Source organism: Homo sapiens, chromosome 6, assembly GCF_000001405.40.
Source record: "Homo sapiens chromosome 6, GRCh38.p14 Primary Assembly".
NCBI classification, from domain to species: domain Eukaryota; kingdom Metazoa; phylum Chordata; class Mammalia; order Primates; family Hominidae; genus Homo; species Homo sapiens.
Genome location: NC_000006.12, coordinates 151,451,930 through 151,473,219, shown reverse-complemented (window position 1 = coordinate 151,473,219; position 21,290 = coordinate 151,451,930). Strand labels below are relative to the sequence as shown.

Sequence of the window (21,290 nt, the reverse complement as noted above, 5' to 3'; positions counted from 1 at the left end):
AGAAAATATTTATAAGTCATATGTCCAATAAGAGACCTGTATCCAGAAAATATATATATATATTATTTATACATATAGTTGTTGTTGTTGAAACGGAGTCTCGCTCTTATCGCCCAGGCTGGAGTGCAGTGGCATGATCTTGGCTCACTGCAGCCTCGGCCTCCCAGGTTCCAGCGATTCTCTTGCCTCAGCCTCCTGAGTAGCTGGGACTATAGGCATGCGCCACCGCGCCCAGCTAATTTTTGTATTTTTTAGTAGAGAAGGGGTTTCTCCATATTGGCCAGCCTGTCCTCGAACTCCTGATCTCATGATCTGCCCACCTCGGCCTCCTAAAGTGCTGGGATTACAGGCATGAGCCACCACGCCTGGCCAGAATATATATATATATATCTTTTTTTTTTTTTTTTTTGAGACAGAGTCTCACTTTGTCACCAGGCTGGCATGCAGTGGCATGACCTCGGCTCACTGCGACCTCCACCACCCTGGTTCAAGCGATTCTCCTGCCTCAGCCTCCCAAGTAGCTGGGATTACAGGCATGAGCCACCATGCCCAGCTAATTTTTTGTATTTTTAGTAGAGACAGGGTTTCAGCACGTTGGCCAGGATGGTCTTGATCTCTTGACCTTGTGATCTGCCCGCCTCGGCCTCCCAAAGTGCTGGGATTACAGGCGTTAGCCACTGCGCCCAGCCCAGAATATATCTTTTAAACCTTATAACTCAATAAGAAGATAATGTTTAAATGGGCAAAGGAATTGAAGACATCTTCCCAAAGAAGATACACAAATGGCCAATAAGCACATGAAAATATGCTCAACATTATTCATTAGGGAAATGCCATTCAAAAGCATGAGATTCCCACTTTGCACCCAACAGTTCAGCTATAGTCAAAAACACGGATACTATTAATAACAGGCCAGGCACAGTGGCTCACGCCTGTAATCCCAGCACTTTGGGAGACTGAGGCGGGTGGATTACTTGAGGTCAGGAGTTCAAGACCAGCCTGGCCAACATGGTGAAACCCAGTCTCTACTAAAAAAAATACAAAAATTAACTGGTGCATGGTTGTGCGTGCCTGTAATCCCCGTTACTTGGGAAACTGAGGCAAGAGGATCACTTGAACCCAGGAGGCAAGGTTGCAGTGAGCCGAGATCATGCCACTGCATTCCAGCCTGGGTGACAGAGCAAGACTCTGTCTCAAAAAAAAAAAAAAAAAAAGAGTAACAAGTGCTGACAAAAATGTGAAGTTGGAGCCGTCGTGCATTGTTGGAAGGAATGTGAAATGATGCAAACACTTCGGGGAAAGTATTTGACAGACACACAAAACATTACAGTTACCATATGATGGAACACTTTCACCCCTACATATATACCCAAAAGAAGTGAAAACATACACAAGTCTTGTACATGAATGTCATAGCAGCATTATTCATAATAGTCAAAAAGTGGAAACAACCCAAATGCCCATCACCTGACAAATGAATAAAACGTGGTATATGTCCATACAATGGAATAGTATTTGGGCCGGGCGCAGTGGCTCACAACTGTAATCCCAGCACTTTGGGAGGCCTAGACCGGTGGATTGCTTGAGCCCAGGAGTTGGGGACCAGGCTGGGCAACATGGCAAAACCTCATCTCTTAAAAAAAAAAAAAAAAGTATTCAGCCATCAAAAAAGATGAAGTACTTGTAGAGTCCTAATTAGAGAAGTGTTGGGACTGACTGACACATACAACTGATGAACCTTCAAAATAAGCTAGTCACAAAAGACCGCCTATTTTGATTCTATTTATATGTAATGTCCAGAACATTTAAATTCATATAGACAGAAAGATTTGTGGTCGCCAAGTGCTAAGGAGAGGGCAAAGGGGAATGACTATCAATGGGTACTAGTTTGTTTTAGCTGTGACAAAAACAACCCTGTGAATATACTGAAATACCGTACCCTTTAAATGGATGAATTGTATTTATATTTCAGTAAAGCTGTTTTAAAAAATCAACTGGGCCAGGTGCGGTGGCTCACACCTGTAATCCCAGCACTTTGGGAGGTCGAGGCGGGCAGATCACGAGGTCAGGAGATAGAGACCATCCTGGCCAACATGGTGAAACCCCGTCTCTACTAAAACTACAAAAATTAGCTGGGGTGGTGGCCCGCACCTGTAATCCCAGCTACTTGGGAGACTGAGGCAGGAGAACCACTTGAACCTGGAAGGCGGAGATTGCAGTGAGCTGAGATTGCGCCACTGGACTCCAGCCTGGCAACAGAGTGAGACTCCGTCTCAAAAAAAAAAAAAAAATCAACTGGTGAGGCTGGGCACGGTGGCCTTGCCTATAATCCTAGCACTTCGGGAGGCTGAAGCCAATAGTTTGAGACCAGTTCTGGGCAACATAGTGAGACCTCATCGCTACAAAATAAAAAAAATTAGCTGGGCATGGTGGCACACACCCATATTTTCAGCTACTGAAGAGGCTGGGGTGAGAGGATCGCCTAAGTCCGGGAGGTCAAGACTACAGTGAGCTGTGATCATGCCCTGCACTCCAGCCAGGAAAACAGGGCGAGACCCTGTCTTAAAAATAAAACAACACTAAACTAACATTAAAACTTAAAAATTAACTGGTGAAAACATAGGTAGGCCCTTCCTCCTGCTAAGCATTAAAAAAAATTCCACCTTGACCTGACTTCCTCTTCCTCAGTGCCACCTTTCTCGCACTAGTTTGCTTCCTTGCTCTTTTTCATGGGGGAGTGGGGGTGCTGAACTACTTCCAGTGCTGGAGCTCACACGGTGGCTATGAAGTCAACCTAAATATACAACTGTGTTCTAAATTATGTCAAATGCCTACAAATAATTCTAATATGGAAGCATTTTACAAACTTACTCTTTAAAATAGGCACACATGTGGATAAAGAAACACAGTAGATTCAAAATGTACAGCTTTATATAAACATTTTGCAAAAATCTTTTTTAATACTTAGCAAGAGCATAGACTAATAACCTTTTATAAATGATATTTAATAACTGCTTTTGGCAACATCTAGAATATATATTATGTCTCTTTTTATATAAATCTCATTTTTAATCTTCCTTTCTTGACTTTTCCCCACTAGAAAATAAAACCAAGGAGATTTTCAGTACAATTCATTTTATTATTTTAGTGCAACAAAACATTTCCAGATTTATTTCCAATTTCAGTTTCAAAACAAACTGACCTGAAATTTTTAGTATTTACTATCTGTGACAATGACCAATAAAATGTGTAAGAATATAAAAAATAAATTCATTCATTGTTGGTAGTACTCCAAATTCAATGCATAAGAACCTTTTCTATCTAAAGCATTTTCCTAAAACTGCAAACTAAAAATCTGATATTTAAAACATTTATGTGGTAAAATAATCTCATTTGATTATGGATATCATAAATAGAATATAAAAGATATTACATTTCTTCAAATACCATTTGTTTCACTGTGTTCAATTTTGAGTTTCCTAACATCCATTCTACAGGTCAATCAAAATACAAAGGCGTGCAAATGAAACAAGCTATTGAAATGAAATAAAATTCAAGAATAAAAGTTAGAATTAACTTATGAGGTAACTTTTATGTAAGCAAACATCACAGTTGTAAGAAATGCCTCTCTTTACAAAGAGTCATTAAGATGCGCATTTTCCTAGAGCTATTATTTCATGTGCCCAAAATCAAGCAAAATAAAATCCCATGCTTCCTGGAATATTAAATACCATGCAGTGTACTATTTAAGAAAAGAACAAGGTTAACTAACTAAAAGCAGAACTCACTTATTTTTTGCTCCCTAGCCAATTAAAAATAAGTTCATTAAAAGCACTTGAAATTATATATTTAACCTGAAAAAAAGTTGCTAAAATTCCAATATAAATGTAAATATCTTTAACTTGCTTAACCCAGCTATCCCCAAAACAGTGTAGTGGGGCAAAATGTTCAAAAGAAAAATCATCCAGTGCACGTAGATGGGCACCAAGAAGCTAAGCTTCCCTGAGCGCGTACAGAGCCGCCAGGCGACTCAATTCACGTGCTCCTTTTCTGGGGATGAAAAGGTGCTCACCAGATCTTTCTATGCAACTGAGAGCTCCTAAATCAAGTCAAAGGGGACCATCGTACTGAAATATTCCATATTTTCCAGTGGTCCACCAGCTGGGCTCAGAGGCCAGGAGCTGTTCCCCTTGCCCAGGCTGCAGACCAACCTGAATTTCAGCTTTTAATGTTCTTATGGTACAGAGTGGTGCAGGATGGAAGCCATTCAGAGCCTGATGAAATGGAACAGAAAACTCCCATTTTCTGTCACCTGTCAACTTCCTGTAATTCAAATCACCCTTGAATAAAATTAAATGTGCCTTCTGTAGTTCAGCATATAAGTCAGGTGCAACCTGAGGCATTGCACAGTACTCATGAGGCAGAGTCCAAAATATATGATTGTGGTAAACCCATTTACCCATTTTAATATACTCTTCCCAGTCAGCCCCACACTTGGACATCCACTTATGATTACTGTGTTTTACCTGTTCAATTAACCAATTAAAATCATGTATAGTAGTATCAGAAACAAACCATGGAATTGTTTTTCCATAAAAATGAACCTCAGTAGCCAGTTCAGAGGACAACAAGAAGTCGGCTAATATTAAATCTGTAACAAGCTCAAATCCAGAATTATCGAGAACAATATACACTCTAGTAGCAGAAGCTTTTTCTCTTGTTTTCTTGCAATTGCTAAGCAATGACCAAAGATGTTCCATATCATTCAATAAAATGAAAGGTTTTAGGTCTTCCAATGAATTTAGTACATTGGTATTCTGAGAACTACTTTCTCCACCTGAGAGAGACAGATCACACTTATTTCCCCACAGTGAAATCTGAAAAAGAAAAAGTACAAAATATTCACCCTTCTTCTGAATAGCCAACAAAACTCCATTATGTAGCGGGATGGGGGGACATTGCTAAAAAACTACTAAATATCTACAAAACTCTTTACATGACCATCAAATCTATACTTTCTCTAACAATGCACAAAAATTATTTCACATGATGCTGTATTAACAAGATAAAACTGAAATTTTTAATTCATCAGTATGTAATGGACTTAAAAAAACTGGTTTCAATTATTTCAGCACTCACATTGTTTATTCAGAATAAAAGTTTTTGCAGCTTGCAGATATTAGAACATCATCGGATGTGTGAAGAGAGGCTCAAAGTTGCCCATATAATCCAGAGTCAAGAGAAGAAATAAAAGTTTATTTTTTCCTCCTTGGCCCTGCAGAACTGTCCAGTTTCTTTCACTAATTGCATAACCTTAGGACGTGACACCTCTCTGGGATTTGGTTCTCTCATTTGTAAAATTTAAAAAACTGAACAAAGTGATATCTAAAGACGCTACTTTTTAAACAAGGTCATGTTAACTAAAGACCCATTGTAATCAATTATCTTATTCAGCTTTAAATTGAATTAATACTCAATTACATTTTGTAGAAAAACAGTATGTAGGCCTATTTTTTTTTAAGCCATAAAATTACACGTTTAGGACTTCCAGCTCGACCTGGGTTCAAACTCAGCATCTTCAGTTTATGATCATCAACAAATTACTTAAGCTCTCTAAGGCTCAAGTCCTGCAACTGAAAAACGAGATACTAGTACTTACCTCACAGAATTATTGTGAGAATTGATATAATGCATGTAAATAATGTACCAAATACCTGGCATATAGAAGTACTCAATAAACACTAGCCAAAACAGACTCTACTCTCATTTGTGATTTTTTTTTTAATAAAGATGGGGTCTCACTATGTTGACCAGGCTAATTTCCATCTCCTGGCCTCCAGCAATCCTCCTGCCGTGGCCTCCCAAAATGCTGAGATTATAAGCATGAGCCACCTTGTCAGGCCCTCATTTGTGATTTAAAATAAGGAGAATGCATGTTCCAACCAATAGGGTTTTGTTTTTTTTTTTTTTGAGATAGAGTCTCCTCTGTCACCGAGGCTGGAGTGCGGTGGTGCGATCTTGGCTCACTGCACCTCTGCCTCACGGGTTCAAGCTTTTCTCCTGCCTCAGCCTCCCAAGTAGCTGGGATTACAGCCGCCCACCACCACGCCTGGCTAATTTTTTGTATTTTTAGTAGAGATGGGGTTTTACCATGTTAGCCAGGCTGGTCTCAAACTCCTGGCCTCAGGTGATCTGCCCACCTCGGCCTCCCAGAGTGCTGGGATTACAGGTGTGAGCCACCATGCCCGGCCGAACAGTATTATTTTAAAAAGAGATAAATGAATAAATTTTTTTTAAAAAAAAGGCTTAAATAATAACTAAAGTGTCCAAGGTCACCTTTTTCTAGAGTTTCCTGAAGAAATTCATACAATGGTGTCCACGATGGCCTTCAGCGACTGAGAGCAGGTTCTGTGCTAGCCTCCTGCACTTTCCCTTCACACCGTCTTCCAGTTTGTAATGGCATAGCTCTTTGTGCAATTACTTCATTGTCTATATTCCCTCAAGATTACAAGTTTTGATAGGGAGGATCAGCCTGTTCTTGTTTTACCACTACGTGCCCAGCACCTAGAATGGCATTTGACACAGTAGCCCCAGAAATGTGTGTGTCGACAGTGGGAGAGTGCTATGACTTTTGAAAGAGATCAACATTCTCTGAAAACGAGAATGTTTTCAAGCTTCCCTTGAAACGTTAACCTGTTGCTCACTGCGGACACCAAATGGAGGCAACTCTGGCCCCCTTCACTTGGGAGCACAGTGACAGTGTGAAGAAGTTGTTAGCTAAATCAGATGACAGAAAATAGATGCATGCTCATTCTTCTTCATAGTTTATTATACTATGGGACAAAGAACACATTCAAAGAAGATGATTCCCTGAAAGAATGGGCTAGCTAGGAGTCAAGAACTAGCATGCCAGTCTTTTTTTTTTTAATTCCAAGGCTAAGCATAAGGCAGAGTTAACAGGAAAAAACAAAAAACAAGGTTTATTAGTTAACAATGTCCTGGGCCAGGCAAGGTGGCTCATGCCTATAATCCCAGCACTTTGGGAGGCCAAGGTGGGCAGATCACCTGAGGTCAGGAGTTCAAGACCAGCCTGGCCAACATGGCGAAACCCAGTCTCTACTAAAAATACAAAAATTAGCCAGGTGTGGTGGCATACGCCTGTAATTCCAGCTACTCAGGAGGCTGAGGCAGGAGAATTGCTTAAACCCGGGAGACGGAGGTTGCAGTGAGCTGAGATCGTGCCACTGCACTACAACCTGGGCAACAGAGCGAGACTCTGTCTCAAAAAACAAAACAATGTCCTGACAATTTTTGTTTTGAACTCAAAATATGCCTTTATTTGTGACTTTGCTTGCCCTCGGGGTCTCACCAGGGCTTCGTCTCCAGGTATAATCTGTTAGCAAGTTCTGTAGCTTCTATGTTCAAAGAACACCCAGGCTCTGGTGATGTCACTAACTCTTATGCTACCAACTTGGCCCCAACCTCCCTCCCCAAGTCATTTTCAGACCAGCTCTCCCCATTTCCACCTTCAGCCCCTGCAGTCTATTCTCAGAAACATTCCTTGAAATAGTCAAATAGCATTACCTCTCTGTTCAAAACCCTCTGATGGCTTCTGTTTCACTTTTAGTAAAAATTTATTTAATACAAGCCGTTCTGTGTCCCTTCCACCCCGCTACCTCTCAGTAACTACAGGGTTTCCTTGCAATTTTTCTCACCTCTCCATGTACTCCGCAGACATACACCTGACTTACTCCTTCCCTGCCTTCAGGTCTGTGGCCTCAGCCTCCATGGACCCTTCCCTGGCAGCCCTGATCCCTTCTCCAACATTCCCAACGCCCTTTTCCTGCTTTATTTCTCTTCATAGCACTTTCTAACATTTCTTTTTGAAAGTCTTCCTCACTTTTTCTGGAAAATGTGAGGGCTGGGGATACTGCTGTGTACCACGTCTCCTAATAGTTCTGATTCTAATAATGTGTTGTAAATTTCAGGATGTTTGCATGAATTAAAAACTAAACTGAATACAAGATAAAGAAATGTAATGAAACTGTATTAATGGGCCAACTGAATACCCGAGTATTATCACCTACCGATGCTAACAGCAGGCTGTATCCCAGGCTCTGTGCTCAGCACTTCACATGCAAGCATCTAGTTGAATTCTCACATCAAATTACACAGTACACATTATCCTCACTGAACAGAGGAGGAAACTGAGGCCCAGAGAAATTAAGTGACAGGCCTCAGGTCCAAACACAAATTAGCCACAGAGCCAACACACACCCAAGTCAGCTGGGAGACCAAATTACTATTAAGAATTCTTTCAAGCATGACAAAAGCTAAGCAAATTACTATGAAGTATTCTCTCAAGTATGACAGAAGCTAGGAAGTCAGATAACTTCTTTGCCACTAAAATCATAGCCAGTGAGAGCAGAAAAATATTTCAAACCCATTTCTAGCAATTAAATGGATTTTCATCTTTTAACACCACTAGATAAAAAATCATCAATTATAGCAAAGAAAAATATTTACATGTTTTGTTAACTGTATAGCAGTTTATTTTCTGTTTAAATAAAACATACTCAGAAGATTAATGATCACATTTACCTGCAGAAGTTTAAAAAACTCATCTTTCAGCTGATTTTCATCTAGGTCTTCAATAGTTCTTATCAATTGTTGCAGGTGAGTACATAAAGCAATGATGGATTCCTGTGACCCATAGAAATTTTGCTCTTTTGATTCTTTAAATACATCAAAGTAATCGATTGGTGGACTAAAGTAGGAGAAAAACAAAGTGAAACATTTTAGTTTGTACATTTGGATAACTGCAGTTCTTGAAAGAAAATAGCACCATACAGTCTCAATAATCAGTGCTAACAGAAACTAGATATAACATTTATCTAATTAACTAGAAAAACTTAATACTAAATAATCAAATTACACAAAAATCTCTCAAACTCATTTTAATTGTCAAAAAAGTTCCCAAATCAAGTATTTTTCTGGACATATTAAATAGTGATAGTGACTATGCTCATAATTATCTACCTAGCAGGGATTCCAGGGCACAAGAAGGAGAAAGATAAATTTCAAGACAACTGCTTTAGTTCAACAAACATTTTTTAACCACCGATGTGGCAGAGTTCCAGTAACAAATGTATAGAATATAAACAGAATATTTGAATACAATGCAGCAATCATTAACAGAATGAAACACAGAGTATGATGGAAATACAATGAGTACTTAAGATAAATCAGACAATACTATTGTAAGTTTTAGAAGAATGATAATTTTTTATCACTAATTTTAGGTATTTTTGGGCAACTTTAACCAAAGGTGATATATGTGGCATGGCTACACCTTCATGTTTTCCAGTGAGAGATTAAATCATATTATATTGGCCTAAGAAAATCATAACTAAGGAGATATAAATACTAATATAATAATCTTTACTGAATTGAATATAAAAGACATTCAGATTATTGGGTCTTCCAAATTAGCTACTTTTTCCATGGGTCATTCATGTTAGGGTAAAAACAATCTAACACTGATGTAATCGGCTTGATTTGTTTTGTTTTGTTTTTTTAAATAACATACCAGTATTTAAACATCCAAATGATGGCTGCCTCCTTCCAGCCAGTCAGTCACCTCGGGAAGCTACACCCTTATTCCAAGGGCGCTGCCATTGCTCAGAGCACTTTTGGAATTCCTCTTTAGGAATTTTCTTCAGAACCTATGGCACATCATTAAACCTCCTGTCAGTGATCACATATCTTCATCCTTTGGAGTCAATTTATTTTTGGAAACAGCCAAAAGTCACTCGGAGTGATTTCAGTAGAATGAGGTGTGTGATCAAATTGGATAAAAACTTTTTTTTTAATCAAAAATGAGTAAAAATACAGGAAGACTAATTTTCATTTTGAGGCATGTAAACTGGCTCTGAAAGAAGTTCCAAATAATTCAAAGATGGTTTTAGCAATGGCAGCACCGCTGAAATCAGTCAGTCTCTCAAGGTGACTTAAAAGGATAAAAATCATTCGGATGCACAGACCCAATCCGGCCCACCACCTGTTCTGTCTGACTCACATGCTAAGAGTGGTTTTTATATTTTTGAATGGCTGAAAACAAAGTGAAAGAAAAGTAGTATTTTGTAACACATGAAATTCAAATTTCGGTGTCCGCTGAATAAAGTTTCTTTAGAACACAGCCATGCTCATTCTTACATATTATTTAAGGTTGCATTCACACGACAATGGCAGGTTCGGCAGCTGCAACAGAGACCACATGGCCCCTATGCCTAAAAGATTTACTACCTGGCCCTTTACAGAAAGTTCTAATAAAACATGTTCTAATGTTTTATTAACAAACCATTCATTAAAGTCACATCTCATATTAAGAATGAGCCTTATTTTCGTATTTAAGAGAGTAAACTCACATAACTATATATAAATTCTCATTTTAGAATGTTTTCTATTTTAGAATCTACTAAAGCTGTGTATGTACACACACTATGACCCAGTGATTCACTTCTAGGGAGGGATATATCCAACAGATGTATTCATACATATGTTCAGCAAAAAAGTGTCAGAATGTTTATAGCAGCATTCTTCCTAACAACTCCAAACTGAAAAGTACTCAAATATCCATCACAACGAAGTAAACAGATTGTAATATGCTCATAAAATGCAATATTATAAAGCAATGAGAATGAATGATCTATAATTATATTGTAACATATGGATGAGTCTCACAAACATAAAAATGAGTGAAAGAAGCCAGACACAAAACTATACACTGTATCATTTCATTTCAGTAAAGTTAAAAAACAGGCAAAACTAACACAGGTCAGAACAATGGTTATCCTTGAGGAGTAATGAAGGCAGTGACTGGAAAGGGACTCAAAGTGGACTTTTGGGGTCTGTAAGGTTCCGTCTCTTGATCTGGGCACTGGGTACACAAGTATGTTCTTGAACACATAAGACATGCACATTTTTCTATATGTATATTACACTTTATTAAAAAGTTTTTCTAAAAATCTAATATTTTCTCTGTACTTTCATCTTTCAATATCTGAAGTGTATTTACCTAATATGTTTAAATTTCACATATGGCTAAAACTTTGAATCTTAATTTAGACTGGCAGACTATTGCATGTTTCAGTGTAAAATGGTAAATCAATATAAACATGTCTTTTATAAAAGCTGGTCAGTCTGGAGTTGCCATTGACCTAGGATAGGGATCCCCCATAGAAGAACCTAAAAATTAGACATTTAAGAATTACTTCAGTGCTGGCTCCATTGTAAGATGGCTCTTTATCTGCCACAGAAACCGCTTTGGGAAGAGTTCTACATCCGTGATTGTGCAACATTCTAGTTTCTTGAACTTAAAGATGCATGTTCCCTCTATCCCATTTAACAATCTGTTCGCTGAACCAGTGGATATCATCACTCCCTGAGCTTCCGAAAGAAAAACTGATACCCAGGCCCCACCCCAGATAAATTAAGCAATTTGTATTTATTCCAACACAATAATCTAAAACTATGTGGTGTTTTTTTTGAGACGGAGTTTCGCTCTTGTCGCCCAGGCTGGAGTACAACGGCACAATCTCGGCTCACTGCAACCTCCACCTCCTGGGTTCAAGTGATTCTCCTGCCTCAGCCTCCTGAGTAGCTGGGATTACAGGTGCCCATTACCATGCCTGACTAATTTTTGTATTTTTAGTAGAGACAGGGTTTCACCATGTTGGCCAGGCTGATCTCACACTCCTGACCTCGGGAGATCCACCTGCCTCAGGCTCCCAAAGTGCTGAGATCACAGGCGTAAGCCACTGTGCCTGGCCTAAAAATACGCATTTTTGAAGCCACCTTCCTTTTCCCCAACTGGGTCATAAATGTGCAGCCAGGTTTGTGAAAATCTGCTCTAGGTATTTTTAGTCTCTGAACCTGATCAACCTCTAAAATCAAACTCAGAAACAGCATTCCTCTTGCCTTAAACACACAAACTCCACCAACCCCACTCAAGATGCCACCCAGTCTTTCAACACTTTGGCAGCTTTGGCTCCTACCACAGATATTTTCCAAAATTAGGAAACCATCACCCCGAATTTCAGACTACTCTCAGTCCTTGACAGGCATCTAAATCTACTATTTGGGAAGAATGGCTGAATAAGGACACTAATCTGATTCACACAGACCAGGCTCAAATCCTGGTTCCACCACCTACTAGCCATGTCACCTTGGGCATGTTAGAAATCTCTCTGAGCCCAATCACCTAAACTGTTAAAATGGAAACCATAACAACGCCTACATTTCACTGGGTTGCACAGTCACTAGAACATTGCTAGTTACTGACAGCTCCTTACATCTTCTGCTGTTCTGCTGGGGTGCCTTCTCCATGCCAAGCAGTGCACCGGAGTTTTTTTTGTTGTTTTTTTGTTTTTTTTTTGAGACAGAGTCTTGCTCTTTCACCCAGGCTGGAGTGCAGTGGTGTGATTTCGGCTCACTGCAACCTCCGCCTCCTGGGTTCAAGTGATTCTCCTGCCTCAGCCTCCTGAGTAGCTGGGACTACAGGTGCGCACCACCGCGCCCAGCTAATTTTTGTATTTTTAGTAGAGACGGGGTTTCAGCATGTTGGCCAGGATGGTCTCGACCTCTTGACCTTTTGATCTGCCTGCCTCGGCCTCCCAAAGTGCTGGGATTACAGGTGTGAGCCACCGCACCCGGCCTGCACCAGAGTTTTAATAGTGTATTTTGCTTTTAGATCAGAAGTTCTAAAACCTACCTATCAGAAAAAACAACAAATTGTGATATGAAAAAAAAATATATAGGCTGGGCGTGGTGGCTCATGCCTGTAATCCCAGCACTTTGGGAGGACGAGGAGGGCAGATCACCTGAGGTCAGGAGTTCGAGGTCAGGAGTTCAAGGCCAGCCTGGCCAACATAACGAAACCCCATCTCTACAAAAAATACAAAAACAAAAAAAGTTAGCCAGGCATGGTGGGAGGTGCCTGTAATCCCAGCTACTCGGGAGGCTGAGGCAAGAGAACTGCTTGAACCCGGAAGGCAGAGGTTGTAGTAAGCCAAGATCGCGCCACTGTACTCCAGCCTGGGCGACAGAGCGAGACTCCATCTTAAACAAACAAACAACAACAAGAACAACAACAACAACAAAATATATACGTGTGTGTGTAAGATTAAGACAAAAAAGCTAATGAACAGATTTTAAAGTTCCATATGTTTCCCAAAATAATTTTATTTTACAATTAGTGCTGACTTGATAGGTCACTTTAAATTGTCCTATGCTATGTTTAGGAACAGATACCAAAGGATTCCTCTTAACAAACCTGTATTTTTGGAACCTGTGCTTATTAAGGATAATCCAATCATCCCCATTAACTTTTCTTTGGCACTATAAATAACAGTTTTTTGTTTTTTGGTTTTTTTAAACAGTCTCGCTCTGTCGCCCAGGCTGGAGTGCGGTGGTGTAATCTTGGCTACTGGAACCTCCGCCTCCCAGGTTCAAGTGATTCTCATGCCTCAGCCTCCGGGGTAGCTGGGACAACAGGCATGTGCCACCACACCTGGGTAATTATATATTTTTTGTAGAGACGGGGTTTCGCCACGCTCACCAGGCTGGTCTCAAATTCCTGACCTCGAGTGATCCACCTGCCTTAGCCTCCCAAAGTGTTGGGATTCCAGGCATGAGCCACCACGCCTGGTCTAAAAACTAGTTCTCTATCAGATGTTTTCCTAGGAAAAATTAAATAATATAAACAAGCCTAGAAAAAGTTACTTTGAAACATGTGTACTTTTAAAATCTTTTTCTAAACTAGCCTTTTTAAAAAAAGATGAAAGATTAAGACTATAATACAATAGTATGATTCACTGTTCTCATGACTCCTTAAACCAAGTAAGTTGTAACGTTTATTATCTATTTCAATAAACAAAACATATGCTTACTTTGTCCCATCCTTATTTATATAAATGTAACTATTTCAAATTTACATTTTTTACTCAATAAGCAAAACTTCTTTTATTCTAGAAGTCTTTGTTGGAATCTTTAATTAATTCACGCTTTATTTATCTATTTTATTGAGACAGAGTTTCACTCCGGTGCTCAGGCTGCAGTGCAGTGGTGCAATTTTGGCACACTGCAACCTCTGCCTCCCAGGTTCAAGCAATTCCCATTCCTCAGCCTCCCAGGTACCTGGGATTACAGGCCCGTGCCACCATGCCTCGCTAATTTTTTTATTTTTAGTAGAGACGGGTTTCGTTATGCTGGCCAGGCTGGTCTCGAACTCCTGACCTCAAGCAATCTGCCCACCTCAGCCTCCCAAAGTGCTGGGATTACAAGCATGAACCTCAGGGCCTGGCCAATTCGTACTTTAGATATTTACTCTTATGTCTATTCTAGGCAAGTAGATTATAATTGCCAAGAATCTGTTAAATTGGTAACAGCTATAGAAATGTCCATCAGTAACATTTGTAGAAATGTCCATCAGTAACATTTGTAGAAATGTCCAACAATGCTATTAAGATTTGCTAAACTCAACCAAATTCAAGCTTCCACTGGTGCTTATTTTTAAACTTATCCTTTTACAATTTCAGAAAAAGTATAAATTATCTAAACATTTGATAGTTGATGATTACACACGTACCTCTGGATAATTGCTTCATGAATTCTTCGATACATGTAACATTCTACCAACAACCACGGTGAGTAGAACCATCTTGATTTTCCATCACTTTCATTTAAAAGACTCTGTTGATATTCTAGGTACTGATTCCATATATCAGTATCAACAAATTTCTCAACCAAGGGGATAAATGGTTTATCTGTTTGCAATTCATTCCGTAATTTAGAAAGGAGAGAGATAGCTTTCTTTTCAGCTTCCACGCCTTCCTGCAAAAATACAAGAAAAATAAATTGTGTGTGTGTGTGTGTCTGTGCAATTCCTCTAGGGTAACATATTTTTACAGACTTAAGAAGAAAAGAAAAATGTTCAAAACTACATTTTATTTCTTTAAACATTACATTTAGAACTCTTAAACTGAAAATCAAAAAACACACACAGATCTCATATGAACATAATCATGCCTTATCTACCTAAGTTCTGGCCTTTCTGTATCTTCGGTGGGATGACCATTACCACAGAGGGAAAGGAACCCCTGCCAGATTTTCCATGTCTTTCATGCTTCCATACATATTCTTCTTTCACCATTGACACCACTAGAAAAGAAACTGTGGGCTTTCTGAGGTTTCTTTTGGTAGCTCAAATTTTTTTTAACTTGTTTTCCACCAAGTTCTAGCTAGGTGAGAGATGACATATGCTGACAAACAAGGCACTACAATATTATCTCACATAACAGGCCAATTGGAGTGGGGACAAATGTAATGGGATCAGAATGAAGTGAAAATGACTTCACACCTTGGTTTTACATTAGCAAGATTCCTGCTCCATTAAAAAAAAAGAAAATGTAAGCCTAATAAGACACGTATATAATAAAATGTAGAGAATAAACATCAAGCCTGAGTATTTTTATAAGATCATTTTTATCATGTTGATATTTAGTCCCTACTTTCAGATCTGTAATTTTCTCAATATAAACATCTCTCCAATCTTTCTTTTGTTCCAAGTACAATTTATTTTGCTGCTAGAAAAAAAGATTGAAGCTTTCGAGATTCTGCAGGTTCAGAAATAGAAGAAAAGAAGTTGTAGCTGACTGTTTTGAGAGGAACTCCCCCTCCTCCAAATCTCTTCCCTAAAGTCTTAAACTTCAACTCTTTAACTATAAATTCCAACAACTGAGGTTTTACAGGGTGTCAGGCACCCTTTTACAGAAGCATATACCTAAAAAGGCTAATGGATTAATAGTGATGTCACTGCCACTTTGTTCACTTACTTGAATTGAATTCAAACATTTACTGAACCCTGTATGTGCCTGACACTAACCTCAGGGCCAGAGAAAGATGAATAAAGCCTGGTCCTGTCTCCAAGAGACACACATCTGCCAAACCAGGTAGTCTAAGGGCACGGACGTTTGACCGCTGAGGTGGGGGAAGATAGAAAACTGTGTGGCATGGCTCCTTCGGAGATAAGCCTGGCCCTGCTATAGGTGGGGGCTTAGGAAGCTAGAACACATGAGGCCCAAGGAGAGTGGCCATAGGTATAACAGAGGCATGAAAAAGGGACAGAAAGGCTACCAAAAGCAGACTTTATCTGTGTCAATTTACATCTTGTTCTGTGCTCAGTAGAGTGTGAAATGGGGGAGGGCTGGAGAGACAATAAACTCTGCCTTCAGTCACCTGGTGATTACGGGCATACAGGCCAAGTAGCAATATACTAGGACTTCATTAATTACTACATTTTAGATCACTCTGGCCGAAAAAACTGAAATTACAAAAGCATTATGGGGCCAGGCACAGTGGCTCACGCCTGTAATGCCAGCACTTTAGGATGCTGAACTGGGAGAATTGCTGGAATCTAGGAGTTTGAGGCTGCAGTGAGCTATGACTGCACCACTGCACTCTGCCTAGTAGACAGAACAAGACCCTGTCTCAAAAAACAACAACAAGAAAAACAAAAGTATTATGGTAATTTGCTTGCGTATATGACCAAATACTAAAGTGAACTATCCAAATTTGGCTAAATTATACTTGTGTGATAAAGATATGTCAGTTACCAAAATTATGTTTATGTGATAAACATTAAAACCATTCAGCAATATAATTGTCAGTGTCTAAATTAAGCCGGATTTTAGCAACAAGGAACAACAGGTAATCCCTGTGTTATGCCAGGATTAGTTTTAAACAAGACAATATAAAAGAAGTTGAAAGAAGTAGAACATTACACTCAAACTGCATGTGTGTTATCTTGCTCCATTTCAATTTGGCCAAGGAGAAAAGATCACCAACCATTTCTCTAAATTTTTGTTTTCAACTCTCAAAAAAAATGTACTGGTATATGTATGCTCTTTTACAGTCTATTGTGTAATAGAAAGATTACTGAACCTACAAGTTTAAAGACCTATGTCTAACATAACATGTGGGGAAAAGCAAGAGAGATCAGATTGTTACTGTGTCTGTGTAGAAAGAAGTAGACATAGGAGACTCCATTTTGTTCTGTACTAAGAAAAATTCTTCTGCCTTGAGATTCTGTTAATCTATAACCTTACCCCCAACCCCGTGCTCTCTGAAACATGTGCTGTGTCAACTCGGAGTTAAATGGATTAAGGGCGGTGCAAGATGTGCTTTGTTAAACAGATGCTTGAAGGCAGCATACTCCTTGAGAGTCATCACCACTCCCTAATCTCAAGTACCCAGGGGCACAAAAACTGCGGAAGGCCGGAAGGCCGCAGGGACCTCTGCCTAGGAAAGCCAGGTATTGTCCAAGGTTTCTCCCCATGTGATAGTCTGAAATATGGCCTCGTGGGAAGGGAAAGACCTGACCGTCCCCCAGCCCGACACCCGTAAAGGGTCTGTGCTGAGGAGGATTAGTGTAAGAGGAAGGCATGCCTCTTGCAGTTGAGACAAGAGGAAGGCATCTGTCTCCTGCCCGTCCCTGGGCAATGGAATGTCTCGGTATAAAACCCAATTGTATGTTCCATCTACTGAGATAGGGAAAAACCGCCTTAGGGCTGGAGGTGGGACATGCGGGCAGCAATACTGCTTTGTAAAGCATTGAGATGTTTATGTGTATGCATATCTAAAAGCACAGCACTTAATCCTTTACATTGTCTATGATGCAAAGACCTTTGTTCACGTGTTTGTCTGCTGACCCTCTCCCCACAATTGTCTTGTGACCCTGACACATCCCTCTCTCGGAGAAACACCCACGAATGATCAATAAATACTAAGGGAACTCAGAGGCTGGCGGGATCCTCCATATGCTGAACGCTGGTTCCCCAGGTCCCCTTATTTCTTTCTCTATACTTTGTCTCTGTGTCTTTTTCTTTTCCAAGTCTCTCGTTCCACCTTACGAGAAACACCCACAGGTGTGGAGGGGCAACCCACCCCTTCAATAACATAGTTATTTGGATTTTTCCTCATCCATTAATTGAATGGACAAAGTGATTTCTAAAGTCCTATTCTGCACTGAATGCTAATGAGTCCCAACTTGAATCAGTACAATGTGTCAATCAATTATAATTCATATCACTGAGCTTTGCATAGCAGCTTGAACTTCCAGGACTCAAGATCTCAAATTAGTAATATAAATACTGCAACTCAAATTAAACTTGAAATTTAAAAAGCTCTTCTAAGCAACTCAATTGCTTAGTCACTTGACTAAGTCAATTGCAAGTCTGTTGCCCAGTCACCAATTACAACATTGCATATATTAGAAAATACATTCTGAAGTCTAAATAACTGACAGAATTAATTATTGGAACACAATCATTTTCTAAATTGAAGATTGGCTGTTCTATCTTCATTTCAATGTATTACCTTAAAAACAAATAAATACTTGGCCCATCTATTGATTTTTACATTTAAAGGAAAATTGATACCTTCAAGAACTATTTATTATGTTTCTGTTGAGAAATTAACAAAAAATTAAAAGTTAAAACAATTCTTACCTCTCCGTGTTTCTCAAAAAATTCACTTTTATGTCGATGCAATGTATCAATAACCTTAGTTAAGATCTGTGGTATTCTGTCTTTAATTGTAAGATATGCAAATGATCTAGAAAAGAGTCACATGCAATATATAACTTAGCAGCATCAATACTAGAAGACTGGCTATCTTTTAGTTTCTGGAACACTTCATGTATATTAAACTCCTCATACAACTATTAAAAGATAGACAAGTATTGTATGATTACTATATTAAGACATAAGAAAACCTGGAAAATTCGCTGGTATGTCATGGAAGCCAAACTGTCTTGGTGCCTCTAATCCCAGATTCTCCCATGGAGTCTGTTTAATCATTCTTATCTTTCCTATTCTATTGCTTTTATTTTCCTAAATCAGAAACTCGCTTAGCAAAGTGATAGGATAGGGAATGGATTAGCTTAGAAATCAAACAGGCTCTTGTCCCAGGTCTACTATCTGCTAAGTCACCTGCTTAGAAAGATGAATGAAGCAATGCATCTAAAACCACCTAAAGGGTCTAATGTGCTTGAACAACATAAAGAATTAAAGGTACTTTTAAGCCTGTTTCTCTCCATTCTGTCTATTTTCTAAGTCAATTTTAATTATTTTCAAAAATTTTCCCCTTCTCTGCCTTCTCTATCTGCACAATGGACTCCTTCCATCCTATTCTGCCCCTAAGCAAATGAAGGCGTGCTACTGTCTCTTCCCACTCAAAAAATCAGAGATTTTATAGAAGTGTTCAAGAATGAAGCAAGCTGGAGATGAAGAAAAACTTATACCTGCATTAAAAAATTAAAGATATTCTTGATTTTATTCATACAAAACCCAAGATTTACAGATTATCATTTTATATCATTCTAAGGAAATACATGATACAGGTAGAAAAAAAGCTTTATTTGGTGGAGAAATTCTGTGCAGTTTTAAATATAGAGCACAGAGCTTAGCTGACTAGTGTTTTTATCTCCAGATCACAGGAGACAATTGTTAAATTACTAGATTGTAACTTGGGTATTTCTTCAAAAGGTTTCCTCAAATGATAGCTATAGAACTTTAAGAAAAAAACTGCACACACTTTCCGACTCTGTGGTGCTTTCAGTACCACCCAAAACAGTGATTAGGTTTTAATGCGCATAATAACTACGTTGATCAGAATTTAATTTTTAAAAATCATTAATAAAAGAAATCACTAATACCTCAGAGGGTGAGCAGGAACATTAAATCAACTGTCACTTGAATTTTCCCAGGCAGTAGGTATAGTAAGTCCTTTTTTGAGATTTTACTTTAATTGGAAAGTATTACTGTTTTCCTAACTACTACATTTCCTGCACCTCTGGAACAAAGTCTCTGGCCAGGACTGGAGTGAGGCCAGAAGCCCTAGGGCGCAAAATTGAAGGAGATACTCTCTATACTTGCATGACCTGAAACAGTGACTGCCTCAATTTGGGGCCATTGGCGCCACTTTGTTGGCCTCAACCTACTTTCTGCCCAGGTTTATTTTCTTCAAAGTGTTCTCGTCTTTTGCAATATTTTGAAGTAAGGACAAATTTCAAATATAAATTTGGCCATTCGATTTATGCAAATGGATGTTATTTGCACGGTCACCCACAACTTTACCCAAGAATCAGTAGCGTGACGACTATAAAGCAAAAAACTAGACAGTTCTTACTGTGAGATTACGATTTGATCAACAACAGGGAGAAACCCGTTTCTTAATAGCGCTGAGATCCCCAACTCTTACGCAGAATTTTAACGCCCCCAAAGCGCGTCTATTAAAGTGAATAAATAAAAAGTGACCGCCAGGAACAGACCGCGAAGCTGACCCCTGTCCTGATCCTTACGAGCAGCCGCCGCGGGCAGGCTCCCTCCCCGGGGCCGCCTCCCTTCGCCTCCGAGCCAGTCCGCGAAACCCGCAAAGGCGCCCCGGAAAGCCGCGCCCGGCGGCGGGACTCGAACGCAGCCCACCGGGGAGCGGGCGCCCTCCGCTTAGTCCCCACAGGCTCCCGGCGAGGCCCGGCTTTCCGCAAAAGTGGGGAGGAGAAAAGCTAGACTAACCCCACGTCCTGTCCTGAGAGAGACGCCGGGACGACAGCCATCACTTTCCGCGATCCCGGCCGCAAAGCTCGGCTGTTCAATCGCCGCAGAAACAGAGGCGGTACCGCCGCGAAGGAGGAGCTGAGAATGGGGGTGGTGTGGCTTTAAAAAAAAAGTGCTTTTGAATAAAGAAACTTTATTTGGTGCCCGATCAAACGGCAAACAGTGGCTCGCCAGAAGACCCAATCTTCCGGGGACGAAGGCGGGGCCAGCGGAGGGCGACTAGAGGAGCGGATATGGAAGCGAGCGAAAGCCGGAAGCAGGCAAGGGACCGGGAGGTCCCAGGGCCTAGGGAGCGGAAGAGGTCGCGGCGACGCGGCTCACGTGGTCAGACAGTCACGTGGCCCGAGTTTCTCCCGCTAAGTGGGACCAGAGTTCAGTGCGGCTGCGCAGTAGCGGGGGTGGGCGGGAGCGCCCTTCCAGGAGATGGGTTGGCTGCAGTAGTGAGAGGCTGGGGGTGCGGCTCTTTCCCTGCAGTCCTGCCGAGGAAGCGTGCGTCCCTGGCGCTTCCTTCTTCTCTTCCGGCGGAGAGGTTAGTGTATTGCCTTTTCTTTAGCAGCTCGAGTGGTCCGGCTTGGAGGTCTGCGCCCTGGCTCCTGGCCGCCCGGAACGTGTACA

At 40.2% G+C, this 21,290-nt stretch overlaps 2 protein-coding genes across 7 annotated transcripts in view, besides 4 other annotated features; one reads left to right on the top strand and one right to left on the bottom strand.

Annotated features, from left to right (window-relative positions):
- Window positions 1–3,118: 3,118 nt before the first annotated feature.
- Window positions 3,119–20,754, bottom strand: DCPH1 (damage control phosphatase 1). 2 transcript variants are annotated; one of them, NM_024573.3, is made up of 5 exons: window positions 20,634–20,754; window positions 18,567–18,672; window positions 14,648–14,892; window positions 8,602–8,767; window positions 3,119–4,877 (listed from the first exon to the last, which is right to left on the bottom strand). In NM_024573.3, exons 1-5 carry the CDS (start codon window positions 20,672–20,674, stop codon window positions 4,110–4,112), a joined length of 1,326 nt encoding a protein of 441 aa, NP_078849.1. In that variant the 5' UTR covers window positions 20,675–20,754; the 3' UTR covers window positions 3,119–4,109. The 2 variants fall into 2 exon arrangements, with proteins under 2 accessions (NP_078849.1, NP_001273491.1); NM_001286562.2 differs by lacking the exon at window positions 18,567–18,672.
- Window positions 17,061–17,818: an enhancer, noted in NCBI's record as "OCT4-NANOG-H3K27ac hESC enhancer chr6:151776537-151777294 (GRCh37/hg19 assembly coordinates)". NCBI's record gives its function as "activates a minimal SCP1, AML or CMV promoter by ChIP-STARR-seq in primed H9 embryonic stem cells {active_cell/tissue: H9 hESC(primed)}" and the evidence as "EXISTENCE:reporter gene assay evidence [ECO:0000049][PMID:30033119]".
- Window positions 17,132–17,426: a silencer, noted in NCBI's record as "tiled region #1820; K562 Repressive non-DNase unmatched - State 16:ElonW". NCBI's record gives its function as "represses a minimal TATA promoter and a strong SV40 promoter by Sharpr-MPRA in K562 cells {active_cell/tissue: K562}" and the evidence as "EXISTENCE:reporter gene assay evidence [ECO:0000049][PMID:27701403]".
- Window positions 20,397–20,516: a silencer, noted in NCBI's record as "silent region_17688". NCBI's record gives its function as "represses an Ori minimal core promoter by ATAC-STARR-seq in GM12878 lymphoblastoid cells {active_cell/tissue: GM12878}" and the evidence as "EXISTENCE:reporter gene assay evidence [ECO:0000049][PMID:35858748]".
- Window positions 20,677–21,126: an enhancer, noted in NCBI's record as "active region_25283". NCBI's record gives its function as "activates an Ori minimal core promoter by ATAC-STARR-seq in GM12878 lymphoblastoid cells {active_cell/tissue: GM12878}" and the evidence as "EXISTENCE:reporter gene assay evidence [ECO:0000049][PMID:35858748]".
- RMND1 (required for meiotic nuclear division 1 homolog) overlaps window positions 21,094–21,290 on the top strand; it is a 47,365-nt gene continuing 47,168 nt past the window's right edge. For all 5 annotated transcript variants that reach the window (NM_001271937.2, XM_047418959.1, NM_017909.4 and 2 more), the window contains exon 1: window positions 21,094–21,204. The gene's annotated coding sequence lies outside the window, so the exon portion shown is untranslated. The remainder of the gene's footprint in view (window positions 21,205–21,290) is intronic.

Bases quoted from the DNA above. Each gene is read 5' to 3' on its own strand.
- DCPH1 (NM_024573.3), bottom strand. From the start codon at position 20,674: ATGGCTGTCGTCCCGGCGTCTCTCTCAGGACAGGACGTGGG. The intron at 14,893-18,566 runs GTAAGAATTGTT...GTATTTTTGCAG, and splicing joins TTTTTGAGAAACACGGAGAG to GAAGGCGTGGAAGCTGAAAA. The intron at 4,878-8,601 runs GTAAATGTGATC...TTTCTTTTTCAG, and splicing joins AGTTTTTTAAACTTCTGCAG to ATTTCACTGTGGGGAAATAA.